This window comes from Homo sapiens, chromosome 1 (genome assembly GCF_000001405.40).
Source record: "Homo sapiens chromosome 1, GRCh38.p14 Primary Assembly".
In the NCBI taxonomy this organism is placed as follows: domain Eukaryota; kingdom Metazoa; phylum Chordata; class Mammalia; order Primates; family Hominidae; genus Homo; species Homo sapiens.
The window spans coordinates 26,874,215-26,901,202 of NC_000001.11; the positions used below are offsets into that span (position 1 = coordinate 26,874,215).

A 26,988-nucleotide genomic window follows, 5' to 3' on the forward strand; every position below is an offset into this window, starting at 1 on the left:
ACATTGACATGGCAAGCACACTGCATTAGACTTCACATTTGGCCGGGTGCTCATGCCTGTAATCCCAGCACTCTAGGAGGCTGAGGCAGGAGGATAGCTTGAGCTCAGGAGTTCGAGACCAGCCTGGGCAAGATGACGAAACCCCATCTCTACAAAAAATACAAAAATTAGTCAGGCATGGTGGCATGGGCCTACAGTCCCAGCTACACAGTAGGCTGAGGTGGGAGATGGCTTGAGCCTGGAAGGTGGAGGTTGCAGTGAGCTTGGGCAACAGTGCAAGATTCTGTCTCAAAAAAAAAATTCACGTTTATTTGGCATGGCTGTGAATGGGCCTCTCATGTCCCTCCTCCACAACTGCTTCAGAGTTTTAGAATGAGGAGAAAAAAACAACCTTCGCTGTGCATTCTCATCCAGAGCAATTTACCAATACTGTCATTTTTTACTTGTTTTCACTGTCTTTTTTCCACCTCAATTGGCCCCTAAATCCCCACCCCATCTTGTCACAGCCCCTGTCTTGGCCCATCTAGACACCTGGGCTTCTGGGGCTGCCTGGAGTTAGCTCCCTGGCTGGAAAAGGTCACACTGGGCTTGAAATGAGGGACACAGGTTTCCACATCTTTAGCAGGCCTGATGCCATGGAGGTATGTGCTGCAACTCCTTCTAAACGGGACAAGAAAAGAGAGTGAATGGCCCAGATCAGGCTGGGTAAGTAAAGACTCAAAAGCCAGAGACAAGAGAAGAGAGAGAGGAGGGGACTAGTGTTTTGCTAGAGAATTTCCCTCCAGGATTCCGGGATAATTGGGCCTCTTCACTGCTTTCAAAATTGGCGAGGGCCTTAATAGTGCTTGGGTGGGTCTGAAGCCACTCCCCTCCCCCCTCAGGATTCTTGAGAAAGGGACAGAGAATTCCTCAAATCGGCCTTCCCTTTCTCTTTCCCACAGATCCTAATGGGACCATACTTCCTATATTCTCAGCCACCAGCGGGTGAGCATTTTGCTAATCCAGGCAGACTGGATGTGCTTCAGCTCTGTGGGCTTTAGGGCCTCACCCTCATGCCTAAGCCTCTTTGTCAGGCTGGAAACCTTTCCAATTACCTGTGGTCCCTGCTAAGTTCTTCCAATTCTACACTGTCTTCTAATTGTTGAGGTTCCCAGTTCAGAGCCAAGAAATGCATATAACCTAATGTCAGTGGTTAGTAGGGATGACCAGGAAGGTCCCTTCTAAGACACTCAGAGAGGGCTTCCTCCCTCCCGAAGTTGTAGAGAATTGTCAAGGGAGGTCTGGAGATGAGAAGAGCAATTTCAGACACTATCAGTGAGATGTAAAGTGGCACATTTTTTGGAAAGCATTTTGGCAACATGAATCCAGAACCTGGAATATGTCAGTTATTTCATTTCCAGGACTACCTCCCAAGTTAAAAATCAGAGACTCAGACAATGATTTGGGTACGAGGATATTAATCACACTATTTACAAAAGTAAAAGTTGGTGATGACTTGTAGGCTAGTAGTAGGCTAACCACGGGAGTATGGATAGGTAAACAATGTTATAGCCAAACCATGGACTATTACCAAAGTGACATTAAAAAGGTTATTTACTTGATTGTTTGAGACAGGGTCTCACTCTGTTGCCCAAGCTAGAGTGCAGTGACACAATCATAGTTCACTGCAGCCTCCACCTCCTGGCTCAAGTGATCCTCCCACTTCAGCCTCCCAGAGTCCTAGAATTACAGGAATTGTATCTATTTTTTATTACATGGAATGGTGTTAACTGAAAAAGGCAGGATACAACACAATTATAAAATATCCCACTTATATAAATGCAATATCCACCCCAGGTATAAAAATAAGGCTGAAAGAATACATAAAATATCTCCAGGTATTTACAGAGATGAGAAAAAAAGAGAATACACAAAATATACATTTGAATATAGAATTTATTTTTCTCTTAAACAGATGACCCCATAGAAAGTTTCCGTTATGGGATTCTGGGTGACTCATTTTCGTTTTTTTTTTTTTTGAGATGTACTTTCCATCTTGTTACCCAGGCTGGAGTGCAATGGCGCGATCTCCGCTCACTGAAACTTCCGCCTCCCAGGTTCAAGCGATTCTCCTGCCTCAGTCTCCTAAGTAGCTGGAATTACAGGCGCATGCCACCATGCCCTGCTCATTTTTTTGTATTTTTAGCAGAGACAGGTTTTCACCATGTTGGTCAGGCTTGTCTTACACTCCTGACCTCAGGTGATCAGCCCGCCTTGGCCTCCCAAAGTGCTGGGATTACAGGCGTGAGCCACCGTGCTCGGCCTTCTCTTTCATTTTCTAAGTTTTTTACTTTCCTATATTTATTAGGAAATTTAAAAATAATCTTAAGGATGACTGCCACATGCCAGCCATAATGGAGGATGGTCTTTCTTCTACCCTAGACATTTCACACTGAACAGGCCTCACTTGGATCTCGGACATCTTCCTTTCTGCACTGTGCAGATCCCCTCAGTATATGCAGAGAACAGAAAATCATTTTGCTGCCAGTGGAAGGTAGACAGAAGCTACGTTTATTGGGGAAGAAAATACCCTTGCTGTCAAACCATGGCCTGAAAATAAAGGCCTTGGATTACTCCCACCCATCTCCACTCCATGGGTGCAGAGAATGCTGAGGGTGCTTGCATACGAGACCATAAAGTTGTAAAGGATGCCTTCCAGCCCCCATTTGGTTTGTTATGGTGAGAGCTGGGGCCTCTGTGAGTGGCAAGCATCAAAACCCACGACCACAGCCGTTGGTACTGCTTTCAAAAGCATAGCACCCACCCTAATGCCCTGATAAAGGATTTGTCCAGTAGCCTGGGCGTCAGGATTCCTGGGCTCTAGGCCCCACAGGTGATTCACAGCTAGCCCCAGGCTGTGCCTCCTGGCCTCAGTTTTCCTGGCTTGCTCTATTGGTACTTCCTACCTACTCTGTGGGGTGTTAATAGGGGTGAGGTGCTTTGAACTTCTCAGATGAAAGAGGCTGGGAAGCAGCACCCAGTTATTATCCCCTTTACAGCCAGGCGTGGGAGCTGAGGTTGCTTTCATACTGTTCCAGCCACAGTAGCCTCCTCATAGCCCCTCATTCATCTGCCTTTGGCTCTGGCTGCCACAACCAGAAAGCAAAGCAGTCAGTCCTATTTCAATGCTGTTTCAGAACAGATGTCCCTAAATTAATTTGCCAACTGCCCAAACCACTGGTGAACTATCTATGATTCAGTAATACTTTACAGGTGCCTAATTTCTTTCTCCTGATTGGCTGCAAAACCTGTGGGACAAGGGCTGTGACTTCTCACCAATAAATATACCAAAGGAGGGATACTCGCAATTTAGTCAGCAAAATGGGTTATGAGAAAGCCAGGCTGACCAAAGTTCAAACTTCTCATCTTTCTGCTTCCTCACTGTAACACGGGCAATGGCTTATTAATTCTCCCCATCCTGTCTATCTCTAATGAGGATTGTGTGTGTGGAAGCACTCTAAAATACCAAGCACTTCATATGTGTTAATAAGTCCAAATGTGGCCGGGTGCAGTGGCTCACGCCTGTAATCCCAGCACTTTGGGAGGCCAAGGCGGGTAAATCATGAGGTCAGTAGTTCAAGACCAGCCTGAACAACATGGTGAAACCCCGTCTTTACTAAAAATACAAAAATTAGCCGGGCATGTGGTAGGCGCCTGTAATCCCAGCTACTCGGGAGGCTGAGGCAGAGAATTGCTTGAACCTGGGAGGCGGAGGTTGCAGTGAGCCGAGATTGTGCCACTGGACTCCAGCCTGGGCGACAGAGAGAGACTTTGTCTCCAAAAAAAGAAAGTCCAAATACATGCAAATAAAACTTGGCATAACAGTCTTGCCCAAGCCATCAGTCCTGCCCCTTCTGCCACCAGGTTACAACTGCAAAAAATTAGGTTGGGGTGCCACCTACTGGTTGAAAAATATATGAACTGCATCCAGCCAGTTGCAAGAGCAAAGAAAAAACTTCCAAGCCCTCTTGATTTTTGCCACACTCTCATAGGAACTGCCATATTATATAATTAATATTTTTCTTTACACAACTTACTATTTTTTTTTGAGACAGAGTCTTGCTCTGTCGCCCAGGTTGGAATGTAGGCACAATCTTGGCTCACTGCAACCTCCGCCTCCTGGGTTCAAGCAATTCTTCTGCCTCAGCCTCCCCAATAGCTGGGATTATAGGCGTGCAACACCATGCCCAGCTAATTTTTATGTTTTTAGTAGAGAGGGGTTTCACCATGTTGGCCAGGCTGGTCTCGAACTCCTGACCTCAGGTGATCCGCCCGCCTCAGCCTCCCAAAGTGCTGGGCTTACAGGCATGAGTGAACACGCCCAGCCTTGTATTTCATTTTTGAAGTACACCTTTTTTTTGAGACAAAGTCTCGCTCTGTCACCAGGCTGGAGTGCAGTGGTGCAATCTCAGCTCACTGTAACCTCTGACTCCTGGGTTCAAATGATTCTCCTGCCTCAGCCTCCCAAGTAGCTGGAACTACAGGTACGCGCCACCTATGCCCAGCTAATTAAAAAAATTTTTTGGTAGAGATGGGGTTTCACCATGTTGGCCAGGATGGTCTCGATCTCTTGACCTTGGGATCCGCCTGCCTCGGCCTCCCAAAGTGCTGGGATTACAGGCGTGAGCCACCGCACCCAGCCTTGAAGTAAACTTTTAACCACTACTGTAAATGGAAAACTAGTTAACACTTGTCAACAATAGAATAAAACCATAAAACAAATACAGTGAATATAAAACATTAACAAAGTTCTAGTTAGGAAGTGTTGCCTGTGAAAGCTGAAGCTTGAGGCTCTGTTAAAACTGAAAATTGTGGGACATGGTGGCTCACACCTGTAGTCCCAGTTACTCAGGCGTCTGAGGCGGGAAGATCACATGAGCCCAGGAGTTTGAGTCCAGCCTGGGCCATATAGCAAGACCCCATCTTTTAAAAAACAAACCTCAGAACCAAAAACTGAAGATTAATAAAAACACATGACTGGAGACTGAATGTAAATCCTATGTGACTGAATGTGAATTATATGCTTTGGGGAAATACTGATTATTCCAAGGCTAGGTGACACTCCCTCATTCTTCCCCAAACCCCTGGGCCCGGAAGACTGAAGAAAAGTTTGGAAGTCACAAAAAGTAGAAAATAAACTCTTGTATTGTAGCACATTTCATCACAGCCTGACTAGGACCAGTGCTCGACTTTCTGGTGGCAGGGCCCAGAGCTCACGGACACCACTGACAGTATGGGGGGTGTTCTGCTTGGCACCATGTCTGGCTTTTTGGCCAGAAGTCCTTTGCAGAGCTGAATATCCCCTTGCCAGCCCGCCAGCTCTGGCTGGGAGGACTTGCTCTTGGGTCTGCAGCCTGCATCAGGAGCCTCCACTTTCCCCAGTGCTGGATTATGCATCCTGCTCTCCAGGGTCCACCTTGTTGCTACAGCTGCATGGCTTCCTGCTCCACTGACTGGTTCGAGGGTGCCAGGTACTTCTCCTGGATGCCCAGTGTGCTGAGGAAGGGTGCGTCAAGGCTGATAGCATAGGCAGAGGATGGGGAGCTGGTCTGGGCAGGATCTGACTTCCGCTGATGCCTACACTCCAACCATGTCCATCCCTCTCTTCCTCATAATTATAGGGACCAATCAGGTATGAGAAGCCTCCAAAAACACCCAGACTCAAATGCTCCTCTATCTGCCTCTTCCACACACTGCTGCGGATCAAAGGACTGGACAGTACTAACCTTGCAATTTTGCGTTATGGCACATGCTCTGGAGCCAGACTAAGGGAGTTCAAAACCTGATGATGTCTGGGTCTGGGGTCTGACGAGGACATGGAGGTTAGCCATGGCTAGGTTGGCTATGTTAGGACACCATGGCTGTTGTACTACCAGATGGCTCCAAAGTAAGAAACAGATTCTACACCCACCAAAACCAAGGTTTGAACTGTTCTTCCAAAACATCCCGGGAGAGGGACCTTGGGCCTGTCGCCTCAATTATAAAAGGGGTTGAAATGAGGATTAAATGACCCTGCAAGTAAAGCACTTAGCCCACCAAATGATGTTCGAGTTACAGACCTTTCTTTTTCTTTTTTTTGAGACAGAGTCTCACTCTGTCACCAAGCTGGAGTGCAGTGGCGCGATCTCGGCTCACCGCAACCTCCAACTCCCTGGTTCAAGCAATTCTCCTGCCTCAGCCTCCAGAGTAGCTGGGACTACAGGTACATGCCAGCACACCCAGCTAATTTTTCTATTTTTAGTAGAGACAGGGTTTCACCATGTTGACAGAAATGGTCTCGATCTCCTGACCTCGTGATCCGCCCGCCTTGGCCTCCCAAAGTGCTGGGATTACAGGCGTAAGCCACCACGCCTGGCCAAAAATAAATTTTTATACTTTAAAAAAAAAAAAGAGAGAGAGATGGGGTCTCACTATGTTACCCAGTCTGGTCTCAAACTCCTGGCCTTGAGCAATCCTCCCACCTTTAACTCCCAAAGTGTTGGAATTACAGGCATGAAGCCATTACACTTGGCCCATGCCATCTTATTTGCAACCCTTGAAACCTGTCTCAACTTTGAACCCCTATGCCTTTGCATGTTCTCTTAACTTGAATTCCCTTTTCTTCTTCATTAGACTGGCTAACCCTCACCTTGAAATGACACAACTCACGTGTCATGCCTCCATAAAGCTTTCCTTACCCACCTACCCTTCAGCAAAGCTGACCACTCCCTTATTTGTATCAGTCCCTACTCTCTTACAGAGAGCTGCTGAATCTTAAGGGGGTTAGGGTCAGGGCAGAATCTAAAATCAGCACAAATGTATATGGTTAAAAATACTCTTTAAAATTCCTCAAATTATTTGTTAAATGCAGCATACATGGTTTTGTGAATAGAATCCTTTATATATACGAATACATAAAGTAACGTACAGATGCTCCTTGACTTATGATGGGGTTACATCCTGATAAACCCATCCTAAATCAAAAATATCTTAAGTCGAAAATGCATTTAATACACATAACCTACCACACATCATAGCTTAGTTTCGCCTACCTTAAATATTCTTAGAACACTTACGTTAGCTGCATTTGGGCAAAATTATCTAACACAAAGCCTATTTTACAATAAAGTATTGAATATCTCATGTAATTTATTGAATACTGTACTGAAAGTGAAAGAATGATTGATAGGTACCCAAAGTATGATTTCTACTGAATGCATATAGCTTTCACACCATCATAAAGTTGAGCCATCATAAGTTGGGAACCATCTGTACGGTGTACAAAATACTACATTATTTAAATTGCTTCTCCCAGCCTAGGCTGTATGGTGAAACCCCATCTCTACAAAAATTAGCTGGCCACAGTGGCACACGCCCATAGTCCTAGCTATTCAGGAGGCTGAAGTGGGAGGATCACTTGAGCCCAGGGAGGTCAAGGCTGCAGTGAGCTGAGATCACGCCACTGCACTCCAGCCTGGGCAACAGAGTGAGACTCTGCCTCACAAAATAAACAAACATAAACTGCCCTTCCCAGCTGGGGACGATGGCTCATGCCTGTGATCCCAGCACTTTGGGAGGCTGAGGTGGGAGGGTAACGAGCCCAGGAGTTCAAGGTCGCAGTGAGCTATGATTGCATCACTGCACTCCAGCCTGGGCAAAGGAGCAAGACCCTGCCTCTAAGAAATAAATATAAAAGTTGCAGGCCGGGCATGGTGGCTCACGCCTATAATCCCAGCACTTTGGGAGGCCAAGGCAGGTGGATCACCTGAGTTCAGGAGTTCGAAACCAGCCTGGCCAACATGGTAAAACGCTGTCTCTACTAAAAATACAAAAAATTAGCTGAGCGTGGTGGCGGGCGCCTATTATCCCACTTACTCGGGAGGCTGAGGCAGGAGAATTGCTTGAACGTGGGAGATGGAGGTTGCAGTGAGCTGAGATTGCACCATTGCACTCCAACTGGGGCAACAAGATTGACGGTCCGTCTCAAAAAAAAAAAAAAAAAAGGGCCAGGTGTGGTGGAGCATGCCTGTAATCCCAGCTACTTAGGAGGCTGAGGGAGGAGAATCACTTGAACCCTGGAGTTGGAGATTGCATTCCAGCCTGGGCAACAACAGCAAAAGAAAGTCCATCTTAAATTTAAAAAAAAAATTGCTCCTCCCCTCTTTTGCTGAGCACATGCAGTCCAATTGGCCTACATTAACTGCAGGTGTGACGCAGCTCCTTAGTACCTTCATCAGGGACTGCACACTCTACTGCCATCATTTATAAGTCATTCCTCCAACCCCGACCCCATGAGCTTTGTTTCCCACATATGGCTCGAGAAACATCAGTAAGTGTTGGCTGGAATTATTTTCCTCTATACCCTAAGACTCCTGAGTCCCCCTTGTCTCCAGCATGCTGCATAGATGCTGAATCTGTGAGAGCATCAGCCTAGAGGGCCTGGACTTTTCTGTCCTGCTTCACGCATGGCCTCTGTGACCTGATGGACACCTACCCATGACCTTGGCTCCAGCCTCATTAGTCACTAACCAAGCTCCAAAAGTCTGGCTGCCTCTTGGACAGCTCTGGATGTCCCATGGACCCCTGAACACAGCACATCTGCCAGCTCTTGTCCCTTTCATCCATGTGACAAACCTGCTCCCTCCTCCTTTTCCTGCCTCAGTGATTAGTACAACCACCCACCGTCTAAGCCAGAGATCTGGGAAGCTAAGTTCTACTCCAGCTCCATCTATCCCATTCAGTCACTGACTCTTACAGTCTATCTCCTTAGTATTTTTCCATTCTACACCTTTCTTTCTATTCTCACTACAAATCTTTCAACCCTTCTCACCTAGCAAGACTGTAAAACTCTTTTGCCCCCAATCACGTCCCTTAAATGCATTTTCCACAATTGCAGGGGCTTTTCTAAAATGTACATCTGATTGTGTCACACCCTGTTCAACAGTACTGCTTGAATACTTGCTCCCACTGCCCACCCATGAACTGAAGTCCACATTCCTTAGTAGGGCACTCAGGCCCCTCCCTCGGCAGCCCTGCCTGTACCCCTGCAACGCCCTTTCCTCTTCACATGCAACACACCAGGAACTGGACTCCTGCATCTCTCCCGAATGACTAATGCCCTCTCATTTCTGGGCCTCTGTATTTGTTACTCCTATTGATCAATATCCTCTCTTGTCCTCAGTACAACCAACTCTGAAGCCAAGGGACCACCTTTGCACATGAGAGACAGTCATCAGGAAGCCCAACTGATCAATATGAAATCAGTCATCCACGGCCGGGCGCAGTGGCTCATGCCTGTAATCCCAGCACTTTGGGAGGCTGAGGCAGGTGGATCACCTGAGGTCAAGAGTTCCAGACCAGCCTGGCCAACATGGTGAAACCCCGTCTCTACTAAAAATATAAAAACTAACTGGGCACAGTGGCGCACACTAATACCAGCTACTTGGGAGGCTGAGGCAGGAGAATTGCTTGAATATGGGAGGCAGAGGTTACACAGAGCCAAGATTGCGCCATTGTGCGATCCAGCCTGGGCAACAAGAGCGAAACTCCCTTTCAAAAAAAAAAAAGAAAAAAGAAATTGGGTGGATCACAAGGTCAGGAGATCAAGACCATCCTGGCCAACACAGTGAAACCCCGTCTCTACTAAAAATACAAAAAATTAGCTGGGCGTGGTGGTGGGTGGCTGTAGTCCCAGCTACTCAGGAGGCTGGGGCAGGAGAGTGGCGTGAACCCGGGAGGCAGAGCTTGCAGTGAGCTGAGATCGTGCCACTGCACTCCAGCCTGGGCGACAGAGCAAGACTCCATCTCAAAAAAAAAAAAAAAAAAAGAAATTGGTCATCCACAAGGTTGATGACTGCACCTCCTGTGGCCATTCTTGAGTCCCATGTCTCACCCTCTCTGCTATGGCCAGGAAGCTGGCAAGGATACGAAGAGAAATGGAAGTCGGCTCCCATTGCGGCAGACATCATGGCTTCCAAGCTTCGCTGCTCTTGGGCTCTGAAACAGTATCCATTGGCTTTATCCACAGCCTGCAGGACTCGCTGGATGCTCTCCTTGTCCTGAGCAGGGAGGAGAGAAACAGTTCTGTGAGTGAAACAGAAGTATGTAAAACTGCTTGCAATCTCTAAATACACCTTCCTCCATCTTGCCTCTGTACCTGTAGCTTTCTTGGCCTGGAGTAGTTCTACATGTCCCCAAAGGCTGGATAAATCTCATGTTTCCTGACCACCAACTCACTCAGATTAGAACAGATAAGCTCCCCTATGCATATCCACAGTCCCCTGGGTTTACACCTATTGTACATGGTATCCCTGCCATGTAATAAACGCCTATTAACTCACCTGCCTCCCCTACTCAACTAAACACCCCTTAGGGCCAGGTCATCTGTCGCAGTATTCCCAGTGCCTGGCACAGTACTTCTCTTAAGTAGACATCCAATGAATATGCATGTTTTAAATCTATAACTGGGCCAGGCACGGTGGTTCACACCTGTAAAGCCCAGCACTTTGGGAGGCCAAGGCAGGTAGATCACTTAAGGTCAGGAGTTCAAGAGCAGCCTGGCCAACATGGTGAAACCCTGTCTCTACTGAAAATACAAAAATTAGTTGGGCATGGTGATGGATGCCTGTAATCCCAGTTACTTGGGAAGCTGAGGCAGGAGAATCGGTTGAACCCAGGAGGCAGAGGTTGCAGTGAGCCAAGATAACGCACTGCACTCCAGCCTGGGTGACAGAGTGAGACTCCGTCACAAAAAACAAAACAAAACAAAAAAAAACTATAACTGTTTCCTCATCCACATACAGTGATAAGAACAGTCCATATATCACATGGTGGGAAGGACAAAGCAAAATTATGTATGTGTAGTCCTTAGCACAGTGCCCAGCACAGAAAGCCATAAATAAGAGGTAATTGTTGTGATTGATATTATAGAGTTCATCTCCTCATATCAGAAGAGTGTGGCATTAGAAGGGAGGAGACAAGTTAGCTCAAGTCCACCCACTGCAGAAAGGAATCTAACATGCACCTGCGTCTCCCAGGTTATCTCTGCAGGGTAAAGGTGAGAGGCACAGGGGTTGGGTACCACTTTGCAAAGTCAACAGACAGTTGCCCAGTTGAAAGGGCTTAAGAGACTTGTCCCTGGTCCTGGTGAACTTTCTTGCTGATGACTTTCTGAACTCACCCATTTTCACAGAGGACAGAACATGTGAAGAGAGGATCCAGCAACACAAAATAGACAGGGCAAAAGTTTGGTCCACTCTCTTTACTGGAATTCTGCCCCTACAGCAGCCCCTGGTCCTGAAACTAAGGTTACTCTCAGTGATACTCAACCCAGGGCAAAGACCACTCTTTTTTTTTTTTTTTTTTTGAGATGGAGTCTCACTCTGTCGCCCAGGCTGGAGAGCAATGGCGTGGTCTCGGCTCACTGCAAGCTCTGCCTCACGGGTTCACGCCATTCTCCTGCCTCAGCCTCCTGAGTAGCTGGGACTACAGGCACCTGCTACCACGCCCAGCTAATTTTTTGTATTTTTAGTAGAGACGGGGTTTCACTGGGTTAGCCAGGATGGTCTCGATCTCCTGACCTCATGATCTGCCCACCTCGGCCTCCCAAAGTGCTAGGATTAGAGGCTTGAGCAACCGCGCCCAGCCGGCAAAGACCATTCTTTAAGCCCTCAAAGCTTCCTGTGCTTTTGGCTTGGTGAATCCCATGCACTGTCAAGAGTCCCGTCTTAGCCCCTAGTACCTGGATGTTGAGAGGGATAAAGGAGACAAGGCTATAGTCTTCGATGAGCTGCACTAGCTTCTCATTGAGCTGGCGGTAGTGGCGGAAGAAAGGGTCAGAAGCCAGGTGGTCAAGCAGGTAGGAGAGGTCCAGAACCTCTGTGTAGTAGTCCAGGTTGAAGGCTAAAGAGAGAAACCAGTGTTCAGGAGCAACCAGTATCAGGCTAAAGACCTGAGGACGAGGTTCCTTTTTCCTTTTTTCCTTTGTGCACTCATGCACTCAAATATTTCTTGACACAGTAAAATGAAGTTACTAAGAAAAAAAGCATTTGGTTTTACCTGCTGGCTCTGCTATTTACTAGCTATATAGGCAGGTATCTACTTCATAGGACTGTTATGAAGATTAAATGCTATAAACCCCAGTGTCTGGTACAGAGAAGTGCTTGATCAATAACTGCAAACAGGCTGGGCACGGTGGCTCATGCCTGTAATCCCAGCACTTTGGGAAGCCGAGGTGGGTGATTACCTGAGGTCAGGAGTTCAAGACCAGCCAACATGGTGAAACTCCATTTCTCCTAAAAATACAAAATTAGGCCAGGTGCGGTGGCTCAAGCCTGTAATCCCAGCACTTTGGGAGATGGACGGATCACAAGGTCAGGAGATCGAGACCATCCTGGCTAACACGATGAAACCCTGTTTCTACTAAAAATACAAAAAATTAGCTGGGCGTGGTGGCGGGTGCCTGTAGTCCCAGCTACTCAGGAGGCTGAGGCAGGAGAATGGCGTGAACCCAGGAGGGGGAGCTTGCAGTGAGCCGAGATCGCGCCACTGCACTCCAGCCTGGGCGACACAGCAAGACTCCGTCTCAAAAAAAAAGAAAAAAAAATACAAAATTAGCCGGACGTGGTGGCACATGCCTGTAATCCCAGCTACACGGGAGGCTGAGGCAGGAGAATCGCTTGAATCCAGGAGGCGGAGGATGCAGTGAGCCGAGATTACACCATTGCACTCCAGCTTGGGCAACAAGAGCGAAACTCTGTCTCAAAAAAAAAAAAAAAAAAAAAAGTTGCAAATAATGATAACAAGTATGTACCAAGAACTGTGCATGGTCGTCCTCACCTCACAGAGCTCATAGTCAGGTCATACCCTCAGGACCTGGCACATACACTGCAAAGACTCTGTAAATGGTTAAACTGAATAAATGCTACATTCTAGCAGGGTAGCCTCCTGGGTAAATCACTTTCCTTTTCTGAGCCAGTTATTTCTTAATGTAAAATAAGGACTAGATGATGCTGAGGTCCCTGATTCAGTTTTATAAATCATTTCTCACTAAAAGAAGTAAGTTGGACTTCCCCCTAGTGGCCTGTTTCTGCCCAGAAAACTTAAGTATCTGGGCTCCCTGGCAGCTCTATCCTAAAGTAAGCTGAGGACTCTACATCACTCCATGTCCAGACTAGAAGCTAACTGGCCTCCCTGGACAAGGTCCCGACACCTCCCTTTCCCAACAACCTCCCTATTGCTCATGTGCTGGTCATTTTATCTGTCTTCTCTAGGTTCCTTTGTTGCTAGAGATGCTATTTAGGGAACAATGTCCCCAGTTCAGGAGAGTACTAATTTTTTTTTTTTTTTGAGACAGAGTCTTGCTCTGTCGCCCAGGCTGGAGTGCACTGGCATGATCTCGGCTCACTGCAAACTCCCTCTCCTGGGTTCACGCCATTCTCCTGCCTCAGCCTCCTGAGTAGCTGGGACTACAGGTGCCCGCCACCATGCCCAGCTAATTTTTTGTATTTTTAGTAGAGACGGAGTTTCACAGTGTTAGCCAGGATGTTCTCAAGCTCCTGACCTCGTGATCCACCTGCCTCGGCCTCCCAAAGTGCTGGGATTACAGGCGTGAGCCACTGCGCCTGGCCTAATTTTTTTTTTTTGAGACGGAGTTTCACTCTTATTGCCCAGGCTGGAGTGCAATGGCGAGATCTCGGCTCACTACAACCTCCGCCTTCCAGGTTCAAGCGATTCTCCTGCCTCAGCCTCCCGAGTAGCTGGGATTACAGGCATGCACCACCATGCCTGGCTACTTTTTTGTATTTTTAGTAGAGATGTGGTTTCTCCATGTTGGTCAAGCTGGTCTCGAACTCCTGACCTCAGGTGATCTGCCCACCTCGGCCTCCCAAAGTGCTGGGATTACAGGCGTGAGCCACCACGCCCAGCCGAGAGTACTAATTTATCAAGAAAAAAAAGCTGGCCACTGGGACTCTAGCCAACTCCCCTGCCTCATACCAGCCTGCTTCTACCTCAATCTTCCCTATTTTGTCCCTGGCCTCCCACCCCTTCTCTGTCTCTGTGCCAGGTGAGAATATAGCCTCCTTCTGTGAGGACAGAAGGAGGCTGTCTAGGAGCCAGGAAGCAGACTCTCACCAGACACCAGATCGGCTTGTGTCTTGATCTTGGACTTACCAGCCTCCAGAACTGTGAGAAATAAATATTTATTGGCTAAGCCATCTGGTCTATGGTATTTTTGTGATGGCAGCACAAACTGACTAAGACAAGGCCTTTATTCCTACTAGTGCCTCTGCATAGAACAGTCCTCCCTTGGCTGGCTCCTTCTCACCATTCATGTCTCAGCTCAGATGCCACTGCTTCAGAGCAGAAGTGAGAAACTGAGGTCCAGAGAGATGAACTGACTTACCCAGACCACACGATGATTCAGTGGCAGATCCAGAATTTAAACTCATGCCTGTTTTACTCCAAAGCTCACTCACTTCACTCCCAAATATTCACTGTCGTATCACTTTAATTCCTTTGTAACACCTAACACCATCTGTAGCTCTCTTGTCTCCAAAATCTACAACGGTAACTAGCACAGAGTGGCACAAAATAAATGGGCAGGAGTTAGAACCTGCCTGTGGCTACTATCACCAGACCACGCAAGGCACCAGAGGCAGCTACCTTCAGCTGAGATGTCTGCTTCATTCTAGCCCAGCTGCTGCCCTGCTCTTCGCCTGGAACAGAAGCTCTTACCCAGCTTCCCATAATGCTCAATGAGGTCCATCTTGGAAAGGAGGTTGATGTGGGGCAGTTCCACGTGCAGCATGGTGGCCAGGGAGGTACACAGTACTGAAATGAACTTGGCAGGGTCTGTGCAGTAGTGAGAATCCACGAGGTGGACGGCAGTCAGCTGGGAGGGAATAGACAGGGTGAGAGTGGCCTGGAGAAACAGGGATCAGCATTCCCTCATGAGAATGAGGGCTTGAGGACAGAGGGGAAGCTTTCCCCATTAGTCTCCTGCCTCTGTTTCTTTCTAATAACCACCCTGGTTTCCTTCTCCCAGGAAATAGGAGTCATTTTTTTTTTCTTACAAGAGGTCTTGCACTGAGCCTCCCAGTGGGCAAGGGGTTTAAATCCCATGGCATCTGACTCCACTCTTTCATTTACTTTTGCCCACCAATTTACAACAATCTCCATGCCACTTTCGACATTAACCCCTTCCATACTTCCAAAATCGCCAAGTTGGCTACTAACACATTTTACACGTGAGGAAACTGAGGTTCAGAGTGATGAACTGACTTATCAACACCACACAGCCAGTCAGTAGCAGAGCCAGATTCTGAACTCATGCCTGTTTTACTCCAAAGCGACCCAGCCCCTACCTCCCTGTGTGACATGGGGGCGTGGCGTCTGTCCTCCCTGTCTCAGTTACTCCATCCGCAAAATGGGCCTCCCCGCCCTGAGACGCACCCTGAGGTCCCACTGCGCCATTTGGGAGAAGATGCTGCGCAAGGCGCCGTGATGCGTGCAGAGCTCCACCTGGCCTGGGCAGTCGAAGAGGAAGTAGTGGCCGCGGAGGGGGTCGAGCTTGGCACGCAGCCAGTCCAGGTTGGCTTCCAGGTACTCCATGCAGTAGAGCAGGCCGCCGTTGGGCCCCAGGCGCAGCGCGTCCATCACGTCGCCCAGCCCCACCAGCTCGCCCACGTCCACGGCACACTCGTACGGCAGCCCCTCGTTGGCCGGGTCCAGGTTCACCACCGCCACGCGCCGGCCCAGCGCGCGCAGGAACTCACTCATGCCCAGGCAGTACGTGGTCTTCCCTGAGCCCGGCGGGCCGATCACCGCCTGCCCGAAGGCCGTGGTCGGAGCGGCCCCTGCCATTGGCGGCCCGCGGCCCGGAGCAGGTCAACTCACAGGGAAAACGGGGCAGGTAGCCGCGCCGGAGACGAGACTGAGGGCGAGGGTCCCAGTACGTATACCTCGTTGGCGGCCAGCGTCACTCGCCTCAGGCGGAACAGCTGAGACCGTGTCGCGCAAAAGGAGATAACAGGCCGATACTAACTAGACTAACTCGACTTCCGGACAGCGTCGGAAACGGCGAGCCAACGAGAGGAAGTCCCGCCCTCACGGCGGGGACGAAGCTAGACGCCGAGGGGCGGGCGGCGCAGCCGCATTTCTCTCGCGGGTAGTGGGTCGAATGTGGGGTCTTTGCGGGAAAATCGCTCTCGGAATTTCTCTAACCTTCAGACTCGAATTAGAAAAGTAAGGGAGCTCCAGTAGTAAACGTCTTTATTCTTCCGTGACGTCGCACACCCAAGCCACCTCCCGCGGACTCTCCGCTGGCAGTCCCACCCAGTGAGGGTAGAGGCGGTGGAGGGCCCACCCAAGGCCGGCTCTTCCAAGCACCACAAATCCTCTCCTCGCCCAGGTCCCTTTCCCCCTTTCTGGCCTTCGTGGGGACACCTTCAGAGTCCCCAAGGAAGGCTGTGCTGATAGCCTCACTCAACCCAGCTTTTCAAAGTTCTGCAGGAGGCAAAGGGCAAGCCCAGAGATTAGGGTTAGAGACCAAAGACAAGCGGTCGTTACCCCTAATATCCAAGGGGAGGGGACGGGAGGGGGCTTTTTGTAAAAATGCCCCTGAGGTATAGAACCGGCAGGCAGGCAGGCTCGGAACAAAACACCCTGAACCAGCCACGAAGACTGCTGCTCCCAGACTCCTTTCTGCTTCAGTGGTAGATGAGGCCAGGGCAGAGGGTTTTCATCATGTAGCTATGAAAGGAAGCCCCCAACCCGGTCAGTCAGGCAATGAGGGGCTGTCTGAAGCACAACTGGAACCCCTCACAAAGGCCATGTCTGTCCGAAACTTCATGCTGGTGGGTGGCTGGCGGCGGAGCAGTGACTCCGTCTGGTCTTGGGGTAGAGGCTCATCATAGATGGTGGAGATGAGCCCCAAGCCATTTCTACGGGGCCTCTTCAGTTGCCCAAATGGCTGTAGCTTCTCTCCATGGTACCTGGATAAAAACGGGCTCTCAGTGAGAAGGCTGCTCTCAAACTCCAGTTAAAGGGGTTGGGAGAGGACGGGGAAGTAGTTACTACATATCTGGTTTGTCCAAAGACAGAGGCTTTAAATCTGGGTCTTTGTTCTCCAGCCCTCTTATCTATCCATTGACAGTGCCAGCAAGAAGGGGCCTCATATAAAATTTTCATTCTGTCACTACAGACTTCCTAATAGTAACCATCAAGTCCAAACTCCTCCAACAAAGGGTATGAATGATCTTGTTAAGCCTTAGGGCTTACTCTTTAAAAAAAAAAAAAAAGTCAGATTTACTTTATTTATTTATTTATTTCTGAGATGGGGTCTCACTATGTCACCCAGGCTGGATTGTAATGGCGTGATCTCGGCTCACTGCAACCTCCACCTCCTGGGTTCAAGCGATTCTCCTGCCTCAGCCTCCAGAGTAGCTGGGACTACAGGCGCATGCCACCATGCCCAGCTAATTTTTTTTTTTTGTGACAGAGTCTTGCTCTGTCACCCAGGCTAGAGTGCAGTGGCGCCATCTTGGCTCACTGCAACCTCTGCCTCCTGGGTTCAAGCGATTTTCCTGCCTCAGCCTCCTGAGTAGCTGGGATTACAGGCACCCACTACCGTGCCCAGCTAATTTTTTGTATTTTTAGTAGACACAGGGTTTCACCATCTTGATCAGGCTGGTCTGAAACTCCTGACCTCGTGATCCACCCGCCTCAGCCTCCCAAAGTGCTAGGATTACAGGCATGAGCCACTGCGCCCGGCTAATTTTTGTATTTTTAGTAGAGACGGGGATTTCACCATGTTGGCCAGGCTGGTCTCTAACTCCTGACCTCAAATGATCTGCCCACCTGGGCCTCCCAAAGTGTTGGGATTACAGGCGTGAGCTACCACGCCCGGACTTTTTATTTTTCTAACAGAGACAGTCTCATATGTTGCCCGGCTGGTTTCAAACTGGGCTCAAGGAATCCTACCACTTCAGCCTCCCAAAGCGCTAGGATTACAGGCTTGAGCCACCGTGCCTGGCCCAGATCCACTTTTTCCTCTTAACTGTTTTGAATTTCATCCCGCACGAGTACCCAGCAGCCATGCCAAAACCAGTGGGAAGAGGGAAACCAGGGCATAGCTGAAAGGCTTGGGCCCCCAGGGAAGTCCCTCAGTCACACTTACCCCAATCCACGCTTGCATCTGGGGTGTTGGCCATCACTATCCAGGGCCTCAGGCACCCCTGAGCACCTGCAGCCCAGGCCCTGGCCCTCAGCCCAGCCCTGCCGCTCCATCACCTTCCGCCCAATGCCCTGCAGAGTGAAGGGACAAGACTCAAGAAATGGGGCTCCTGCTGGGAGCAGGGAGAATGGGGATGGGAGAAGGAATTAAAGTAGAGAAGGAAAAGAGAGGGGTCCATGGGGTGGGCACAGTGCTAACTCACCTTGGTGTGGCGCTCAAAGGTGCCCACCTGGCGTTCGATCACAGAGCCATCTTCCTGTCCATCTCGGAGTCTCTGTTCCAGACGCATTTGGACAGAGTCTCGGGCATCCTTGTCTCCACCATCTGAGGAAACAGAGCTCAGTTTATGGAAGCGTCCCTCTCAAAGAAGGGGGAAGAATCAGGTTTCTAGGACCCCCTCGTAAGATTGACTTATTCATTTTAATAGTGTTCTGTATCTCTCTCATTAGACTGGGAGCTCCCCAAAAGTAGGAACCATGGCTCTCCCCAATCATACAGATGAGAAGATTGTGGTGCAGAAAAGTAACAGAGCCAACAAATGACAGAGAGAGGATTAGAACCCAGGTCTTCCCTCCCCTACTTGGCTATTTCCCCCACCCGGGTCATTTCCTCTTCTAAAATCTAAACCCTTACTAGAGCCTGAGCTTCTGACCAGCCCACCCTACCAGGGCCTGACCATCAGACCTAGAGCCCCTAAGGGCTATCTATCCCTCCTCCTCCTCCAAGAAAGGATGAAGGCTCTGTCCAAAACTAGCACTTAATGTACACAACCAAAGATGTTTTAAGAGGAACCCTCTCAGTGGGCTACCCCAAGGGAACGGGAACGGTACCCTGTCTCAGCCTTTGCTAGCTCTGGTAAAGTGTCACTGCAAGGCCAGGGCACCTGTTTCACCTCCAGTATTGCCACTCCTTGCCCAGTACCTCTGTCATAGTACACACTCATGTCCACATCCCAGTCATCGGCTGTCTGTTCATCAAAATCTGTAGGGACAGAAAAGCATCCAACAGAGTACATTAAGGACTCTCAGTTCTATTAAGAGTTAAACCTAGAGTTTTTTTGGCTTTTTTTTTTTTTTTTTTTTTGAGACAGAATCTCATTCTGGAGTGCAGTGGCATGACCTTGGCTCACTCCAACCTCTGCCTCCCGGGTTCAAGTGATTCTCCTGCCTCAGCCTCCCAAGTAGCTGGGACTACAGGTGCATGCCACCATACCCAGCTAATTTTTGTATTTTTCATAGAGACGAGGTTTCACCATGTTGGCCAGGACGGTCTCGATCTCTTGACCTCGTGATCTGCCCACCTCAGCCTCCCAAAGTGCTGGGATTACAGGCGTGAGCCACTGCACCCAGCGGGGCATTTGTTTGTTTTAGAGAAGGTCTCACTCTGTCCCCCAGGCTGGAGTAAAGTGGTGGAATCATAGCTCACTGCAACCTTGAACTCCTGGGCTCAAGTGATCCTCCTGCCTCAGTCTCTTAAGTAGTTCGGACTACAGGCATGAGCCATTGCACCCAGCTTGTTTGTATTTTAAGATCCTTCCTCTGGGAGGGTTATTCAGAATTTGTTGGGGGCGGGGCGGGGGGCATTTTCTCTCCATCTCACTGATCCCCACTCTTAAAAAGGATGATTGGTCTCTCGTATACAATAGAGGTCAGCCTGTTCCCTAGCCTTTTGTTTGGGCTCACCACTACAGAATCTACCGTGTGGAACAGGGAACCCCAAAAGAATGCAGCAGGGGTCACCCCTGCCTTTGCCTGGGTACCAGCATTACCTCCTTCTTCCTCCTGCCAGAACTGGGCATCAGTATAAAACACCAGGCCAGAGCCACCCTTCTCCCACTTGAGCTCAATCTCCTCCTCAAAGAGCTGCTCAGTGGTCCGCTCCTGCCCGGTCACGTCCTCATGCAGCGCTTCATGCCGTTCCCATTCCTCACCCCGGTCATCGTCCTAAAAGGCAGGGAGAGGTGATTTGCCTGAGCTTCCTGACCTCATGCCCCGAGGGAGGGAAGCTCAGGGCACAGGAGGCATGTGTGGCTAGCCTCAGCGCCATTCCTTCAGATTTCTCCAAGAAGCAGCACATATTTGGCCCCTGACCAACACGTCTCCAGCCCGATAATTCTCAACAGTTTGCTCCTGTCCCCACAAGCCTGACTCACCTCTGCGCGTTTGGCCATGTTGTTCCCTGCCTGAAATACCCACTTTCCTCTCCCACACCCTTCTCTTCTCCACTTGATTAAATCCTCCTCATCCCTCAAGTCATACAGCCTACATGAAGCCCCCCACATTTAGGCCCACAGCTCTCATACCAGTCTCTGAACTCCCAATGCTAATCAGTACACACTGGTTAGGCCTTTTTATGTCATATCACAAAGAAAGAATGGACAATAATGCTTATTGTCTCTGGTGTGTCAGGCCCTTCCCATAGCTTAGCTCCTTTAACCACTGCAACAACCCTATGAGATAAGTACCATTATTCCCATTCTACAGATGACAAAACCTAGGTTCAGGGGAGTAAAAAGTTCTTTGTCCAAAAGAGTACACTGAGGGAGCAGCAGAGCCAGCAATGCAAACCCGGGTGGCCACATCCAGGTGCAGCATCTCCAGATGCTGGTTCTTTCTCTTCAGGGAGATTTTAGGCTCTTTGAGGGCAGGAAATGGGTCTTAGAATGCCTTTGGAATCCTACACTAGCCCTTGGCTTGACGGGACTTGTGGAATGATACAATGACTCCTAGCTTGAAACCCTGTAGGCCTTCAAGTGCTGAAGAAAAGTCAGGATGGGGCCAGACGCAGTGGCTCACGCCTGTAATCCCAGCACTTTGGGAGGCCAAGGTGGGAGGATCCCTTGAGCTCAGAGGTTCAAGACCAGTCTAGGCAACAAGTCAAAACCCTATCTCTACAAAAAATACAAAAATTAGCCAAGTGTGGTGATGTGTGAGTGTAGTCCTAGCTACTAGGGAAGCTGAGGTGAGGATGGCTTGAGCCCAGGGAGTTGGAGGTTGCAGTGAGCTGAGATTGCACTACTGCATTCCAGCCAGGACAATAGAACCAGAGCCTGCTTAAAAAAAAAAAAAAAAAAAAAGGAAAGGAAGGAAGGAAGGGGAGAGAAGAGGAGAGGGGAAGTCAGGATGGTACCACACTAGGGATGTGGTCCAGATGTCTTAGCAATCTTGGCTGGGAGCTTTTTTTTTTTTGAGACAGAGTCTCACTCTATCGCCCAGGCTGGAGTGCAGTGGTGCGATCTCAGCTCACTGCAACCTCCACCTCCTGGCTTCAAGTGATTCTCCTGCCTCAGCCTCCCAGTAGCTAGGACTACAGGCACCACGCCTGGCTAATTTTTGTATTTTTAGTAAAGGTGGGGTTTCACCATGTTGGCCAGGCTGGTCTCGAACTCCTGACCTCAAATGATCCACCCATCTTGGCCTCCCAAAGTGCTGGGATTACAGGTGTGAGCCACTGCACCCAGCTGGCTGGAAGCTTTGAAACATGGGTGAATTACTTTTTACCCGGAGTACACATTTTTAAAAAAGTTTTCCCAACAAATCACACCTTACTTGATTTTATGGATGTGCAACCAAGTTTGGAGAAAGGAACCAAAGAAATGTCTATGTCACTAATGAAGTGAGAGTGGAGGCTACTGTTCAATCTGCTGACTCTAGGTCAGAAAATAGAGATGACTGTTCAGCCACATTATGACAGCACGCACAGGTTAGAGAAGAAGCAAGAACTGGGTTCATATCCCAGCTCTACCTCTATTTCCTGAGATGATCTTAGACAAGTCACTGCACATGTTTTGGTCAGCACATTTTCATCTATGAAAATGAACTCTCCTTATCTGGTCTTTCATGTGGAATTTTTTTTTTTTTTCTCAGCTCACTGCAACCTCCGCCTCCTGGGTTCAAGAGCTTCTGTGCCCGGCTGGAAATAATTTTTAAAAAAGAAAAAATGGGCCTGGCGCAGTGGGTCATGCCTGTAATCCCAGCACTTTGGCAGGCCGAGGCAGGTGGGTCACGAGGTCAGGAAATTGAGACTATCCTGGTTAACACGGTGAAACCCTGTCTCTACTAAAAATAAAAAAAAAAAAAAAAATTAGCCGGGCGTGGTGGCACATGCCTGAAGTCCCAGCTTACTCGGGAGGCTGAGGCAGGAGAATCACTTAAACCCAGGAGGTGGAGGTTGCAGTGAGCCGAGATCGCACCACTTCACTCCAGCCTGGGTGACACAGTGAGACTCTGTCTCAAAAAAAAAAAGAAAAAAATGAATAAAGAGGAACCATCCTGGCCAGGCGCAGTGGCTCACGCCTATAATCCCAGCACTTTGGGAGACTGAGGCAGGCGGGTCACGAGGTCAGGAGATTGAGACCATCCTGGCTAACACAGTGAAACCCCGTCTCTACTAAAAATACAAAAAATTAGCCGGGTATGGTGGTGGCCGCCTGTAGTCCCAGCTACTTGGGAGGCTGAGGCAGGAGAATGGCGTGAACCCAGGAGGCAGAGCTTGCAGTGAGCCGAGATCGTGCCACTGCACTCCAGCCTGGACAACAGAGCAAGACTCCGTCTCAAAAAAAAAAAAAAAGGAACCATCCTTATATATCCCTTCCAAGGGAATGAAAAATAAGACCCACTTACGAATCTTCTGGTAAAAGCTCTGGACCATCTCCCTACAGAAATACAGAAACACACATGCAAATATAGTTTTACATTCCTTCTTGGACTCCTTGGAACCCTCCTGAGGACCCCAGGTTAAGAACCCTTGTAATAGACAATTGAAGAGTGGTATTATTAATGCCTTCGGCCTCTTTCAGCTGCCAGCAAGGACAGGGTAGCACACTGTACTCACCTCATCTGAGTGAGACTCTTCTTCCTCTTCCTTCCCCACTTCTTCCTCAGGCTCTCCACAGGGGCTGGCTGGTATATCTGCCAGGTAGGTTCCTTGGGGTATTTCTTCACCCTCTGCTGTATACACAAGCTCTTCCTGCTCCACAGTCTCTGAGTCCTCATACTCAAAAGGCACATTGCCGTAGCGCCGGGAGGAACCTGTCTTGGGGAACTGGAGCTGCAGCTGGGTGATGATCCGAGGGGGTAGGCGGCAGGCCCGGATCAACTCCAAAAAGACCCGCAGGGGAGTCCCCACATTCCCTCTGGGCATCAGCACTGGTGGGTTCAGCTCCGGCAGTTGCTTCAGGTCAGCCAGGGTGAAGGCTTCATTCTCTGCCTTCCAACTCTGCAGTTCCTTCCGGGTCTTGAAGGGAAAGGAGCCCAGACCTTGGAAAGGAGGGAGAATAGATCTTGAAACCCAGAAGCCTCCAGCAACACTTGAGCCAGAAATTGGCCAATGTTTAAATCTGTTAGCCTTTCCCTAGTAAACATCTAGTAAATCCCTAGTAAAAATCTAGGCCGACACAGTGGCTCACGCTTGTGATCCCAGCACTTTGGGAGGCTGAGGCAGGAGGATTGCTTGAGCTCAGGAGTTCAAGACCAGCCTGGGCAAAATGGTGAGACCCTTATCTCTACAAAATATAAAAAAATTAGCTGGGAGTGGTGGTGCACCCTGTGATCCCAGCTCCTTGGGAGGCTGAAGCAGGAGGATTGCTTGAGCCTGGGAGGTGAGGCTGTAGTGAGCCAAGATTGCACCACTGCACTTCATCTCGGGCGACAGAGTACCCTGTCTCAAAAATAAATAAATAAATAATAAAATAAATCCATTAGCCTCATGCTGTTCCTCCCTCTCAAACTTCTCCAGGTCTTTTCATCTCTCCCCAAGCGGAACTACAGAACTACCTAGTAGTTTCATGTCACTTCTCATCACCTTGGCTGGGCATACAAGTTTCTTCCAGCTCTGGCTCCTGATGAACTTTTTTTTTCTTTTTTTTGAGACAGATTCTCACTCTGTCACCCAGACTGGCGTATGCAGTGGTGCAATCTCAGCTCACCGCAACCTCCGCCTCCCGGGTTCAAGTGATTCTCATACTTCAGCTTCCCAAGTAGCTGGGATTACAGGCATGTGCCACCATGCCTGGCTGATTTTTGTATTTCTAGTACAGACAGGGTTACGCCATGTTGTCCAGGCTGGTCCTGGCCTCAAGTGATATCTACCCACCTGATGACCTTTTGATTCTCGGCTGTCACCAACTCCCACCTCCTGCATGTCTTCATACGATGTGTTCCAGCCACACCAAACAATTTTTCTCCTAATTTCTTTTTTTTCTTCTTTTTTTTTTTTTGAGATGGGGTCTCGTTCTGTCACCCAGGCTGGAGTACAGTGGCGCGATCTTGACTCATTGCAACCTCCACCTCCTGGGCTCAAGTGATCCCCCCACCTCAACCTCACAAGTAGCTGGGACTACAGGCATGCGCCACCACAACCGGCTAATTTGTATTTTTGGTAGAGACAGGGTTTCACCATGTTGCCCAGGCTGGTATGGAACTCCTGAGCTCAAGAGATCCACCCACCTGTGCCTCCCAAAGTGCTGGGATTACAGGCACGAGCCATTGCAACCCAGCCCACAATGAACAATTTAACATGCCCTGAAAGTTTTTCACGGGCTTTCAAAGCTGTGTCTTTGCAAACGCCATTTACCCTGAAACCCAGAAACACCATTCTCTCCTATTAACTCCTATTTATTTTTCAAGACCCAGATGGAAAGCCACATTTCATGATCCATCTAGGAAGTTAGTTTCTCCCTTCTCTGTCATCTCACAGCACTTGGTGATAAACAGTATAGGCTCTGGAACAGATGCCTAGGTTTGTTGTAGCTCTGACACTAACTAACTCTGTAACCTCAGGCAAGTCACATAACTTCGGCTTCCCTCAGTTTCTTCACCTATGAAATGGGAGAAACAACAGCTCCTATCTCATAGGACTGTTGAGAGGGGTAAGAAAACAAAAGGCTTAGAACAGCGCCTACTAAATACAGAGTGCTCAGTGAATGCTAACAATTAGAATGACATCTCTGTGGCAATAACCTTTTTCCAAATGTCTTCCTTTGTGGATTCTGAGCACACACTATGTCCAACTGTTCTCTGCATACCCAGCTAGTCACACTAGGTCTAGCAATGTAAGCATTTGTTGAATGTGTGAACTGGAGGGCTCTGCACTGTCCTGTTTCCCCATCAAACTGATTTCCCATGAAAGTGGGAGCTGTCCAGAGAAAAGATTGTCTCTTCATTTGTATCTTACTGAAAGGACTGGGTAGGAAGCACAGAGAGAGCAGGAGAGAAAGACAGTAAAAGGGTTAGAGACTGGATTTCCTTTTTTCTTTCTGTGTTAGTGCAAAATCAACCCCTTGGATAGAGAAAGGGTCTCAAAAGGGACCTAACAAAATGAAGGCTCTTCCGAATAAGCCTCTCCGGTTTATTTTTCTCCATGTATTGGACTAACTCCCTGCAAGTTGAGCCTGAAGCTCTGTCTAGAATATGAACTAAACTCATAGAGTCCTAACCAGAGGCCTGACTTATCCTCACCACTCCTCTGAAAAGGTGCCTCTGTTCCAGGCCCGTAGGCCCAGTCTATTAACTTTCTCACTCTTACCTGATGCCTCCGTAGGTAGCCGAAGTCTGCGGATGAGACAGCGACCCGGTAGCCAAGTCCCGTGAGAATCCAGCCACCGGCGGCCCGAGTACATGCGAATAAGCCTCTGAGCTTGAGCCAACCCCCTTACCGAGATGACGCAGCAGCAGGTGCGGGTCTGGATTGGAGTAGAGTCTCGAGTGGAGAGAGGCCGGACATCGGTGGCCGAAGTCTGAGAGAGAAGCTGGCCCTCAGCGGCTGGGTCGGTAGGAATTAGGGCAGAGTTAGGAGCGGCCTGCGGAGGGGCCCGCTCAGGCCGATGCCGGTAGTGGAAACAGAGGAAGCCACCGCCGCGCTCTTCTCGGAACTGGCTAAAATAGCTCCGTAAATGGGCCGAGCGCAACACGGAGGGGATACCGCTCACTACCAGGTAAACTGTCGCCTCCTCCTCCGCCTCGCCGGGCACCGCCATCTTGGATTGTCACATGATCAGCTAGAACCAAGTCTCGCGAGAACACCGCGAGCAACGTTCCAGCCCCTGCGTTGCGAGATTGTGAAAATTCTAACTAGTCCTTTGGGATTGGGGTTGTGGAACCTGGAGCTGGAAGATCCGAAGTCTTCTGTGTTCCTTTCCCACAGAGGGAAGCCGGCGATGATGGAAAAACTCACCTGGAAAATGGGGTCATAGAGTTCTTTCATAAAGCTCTCATGAGGACCAAATAAGAAGCCTGCGGGAGGGGTCATTTTTGAGGTATTTAGTTGTGGATATTGCACACCTAATCTCAACCTTCCTCAGTTCTGAACCTTTAGTCGTTCTTCCATTTATTTTTCCAAAATGTGTTGATGAACTCCCACAAATCGGTAAGAAAAAGATAACCCGGTAGAAAAATGGGCCGAAGATACTTCGCAAAAGAGGAAACACGCAGGTCCAATTTACAATGAAAGTGCTATGAGTTACTAGAGGCTTACGTTAAAGAAAAGATGCACAACTCAATAATAAAAGAAATGCAGCGAGACCCACTTTGCATCCACTATGTTGGCAAACTTTAAAACCTTAGAGTCGATGACAACATGGTGGAACTGAAGCTCTCATACACTGTTGGTGGAAATGTAAGTTGATACAACCACTTTGGGAAACAATTGGCGTTATCTAGTAAAAGCAAAGCTACACATCATTTGACTCAGCACTTGTAGGTAATATTTTATTTATTTTTGAGTTGGGGTCTCGCTCT

At 48.9% G+C, this 26,988-nt stretch overlaps 3 protein-coding genes and 1 long non-coding RNA gene across 8 annotated transcripts in view, besides 5 other annotated features; 2 read left to right on the forward strand and 2 right to left on the reverse strand.

Annotated features, from left to right (window-relative positions):
- Positions 660–1,159: an enhancer, noted in NCBI's record as "H3K27ac hESC enhancer chr1:27201365-27201864 (GRCh37/hg19 assembly coordinates)". NCBI's record gives its function as "activates a minimal SCP1, AML or CMV promoter by ChIP-STARR-seq in naive H9 embryonic stem cells {active_cell/tissue: H9 hESC(naive)}" and the evidence as "EXISTENCE:reporter gene assay evidence [ECO:0000049][PMID:30033119]".
- On the reverse strand, positions 1,918–16,069 carry GPN2 (GPN-loop GTPase 2). Its single transcript, NM_018066.4, has 5 exons — positions 15,472–16,069; positions 14,755–14,911; positions 11,759–11,919; positions 9,946–10,076; positions 1,918–5,535 (listed from the first exon to the last, which is right to left on the reverse strand). The coding sequence occupies exons 1-5, from the start codon at positions 15,880–15,882 to the stop codon at positions 5,463–5,465; spliced, it is 933 nt and encodes a 310-aa protein (NP_060536.3). The 5' UTR covers positions 15,883–16,069; the 3' UTR covers positions 1,918–5,462.
- GPN2-AS1 (GPN2 antisense RNA 1) lies at positions 1,920–4,031 on the forward strand. Its single transcript, NR_199049.1, has 2 exons — positions 1,920–2,096; positions 3,904–4,031. It is a non-coding gene; the product is annotated as a GPN2 antisense RNA 1 (long non-coding RNA).
- Positions 15,230–16,107: an enhancer, noted in NCBI's record as "H3K27ac-H3K4me1 hESC enhancer chr1:27215935-27216812 (GRCh37/hg19 assembly coordinates)". NCBI's record gives its function as "activates a minimal SCP1, AML or CMV promoter by ChIP-STARR-seq in naive H9 embryonic stem cells {active_cell/tissue: H9 hESC(naive)}" and the evidence as "EXISTENCE:reporter gene assay evidence [ECO:0000049][PMID:30033119]".
- Positions 15,463–15,632: an enhancer, noted in NCBI's record as "active region_528". NCBI's record gives its function as "activates an Ori minimal core promoter by ATAC-STARR-seq in GM12878 lymphoblastoid cells {active_cell/tissue: GM12878}" and the evidence as "EXISTENCE:reporter gene assay evidence [ECO:0000049][PMID:35858748]".
- Positions 16,143–16,412: an enhancer, noted in NCBI's record as "active region_529". NCBI's record gives its function as "activates an Ori minimal core promoter by ATAC-STARR-seq in GM12878 lymphoblastoid cells {active_cell/tissue: GM12878}" and the evidence as "EXISTENCE:reporter gene assay evidence [ECO:0000049][PMID:35858748]".
- On the reverse strand, positions 16,274–26,253 carry GPATCH3 (G-patch domain containing 3). 2 transcript variants are annotated; one of them, NM_022078.3, is made up of 7 exons: positions 25,778–26,253; positions 23,087–23,511; positions 20,022–20,196; positions 19,175–19,234; positions 18,456–18,577; positions 18,197–18,324; positions 16,274–17,012 (listed from the first exon to the last, which is right to left on the reverse strand). In NM_022078.3, the coding sequence occupies exons 1-7, from the start codon at positions 26,226–26,228 to the stop codon at positions 16,796–16,798; spliced, it is 1,578 nt and encodes a 525-aa protein (NP_071361.2). In that variant the 5' UTR covers positions 26,229–26,253; the 3' UTR covers positions 16,274–16,795. The 2 variants fall into 2 exon arrangements, with proteins under 2 accessions (NP_071361.2, XP_047283474.1); XM_047427518.1 differs by lacking the exons at positions 16,274–17,012; positions 18,197–18,324; positions 18,456–18,577; positions 19,175–19,234 and adding an exon at positions 22,876–22,907 and having other exon boundaries at positions 20,041–20,196.
- NUDC (nuclear distribution C, dynein complex regulator) overlaps positions 25,947–26,988 on the forward strand; it is a 46,711-nt gene continuing 45,669 nt past the window's right edge. Inside the window, exon 1 of one of the 4 annotated variants that reach the window (XM_047439143.1) lies at positions 25,947–26,866. The gene's annotated coding sequence lies outside the window, so the exon portion shown is untranslated. The remainder of the gene's footprint in view (positions 26,867–26,988) is intronic. The other 3 variants (XM_047439206.1, XM_024452486.2, XM_047439200.1) reach the window with 3 other exon arrangements.
- Positions 26,198–26,317: an enhancer, noted in NCBI's record as "active region_530". NCBI's record gives its function as "activates an Ori minimal core promoter by ATAC-STARR-seq in GM12878 lymphoblastoid cells {active_cell/tissue: GM12878}" and the evidence as "EXISTENCE:reporter gene assay evidence [ECO:0000049][PMID:35858748]".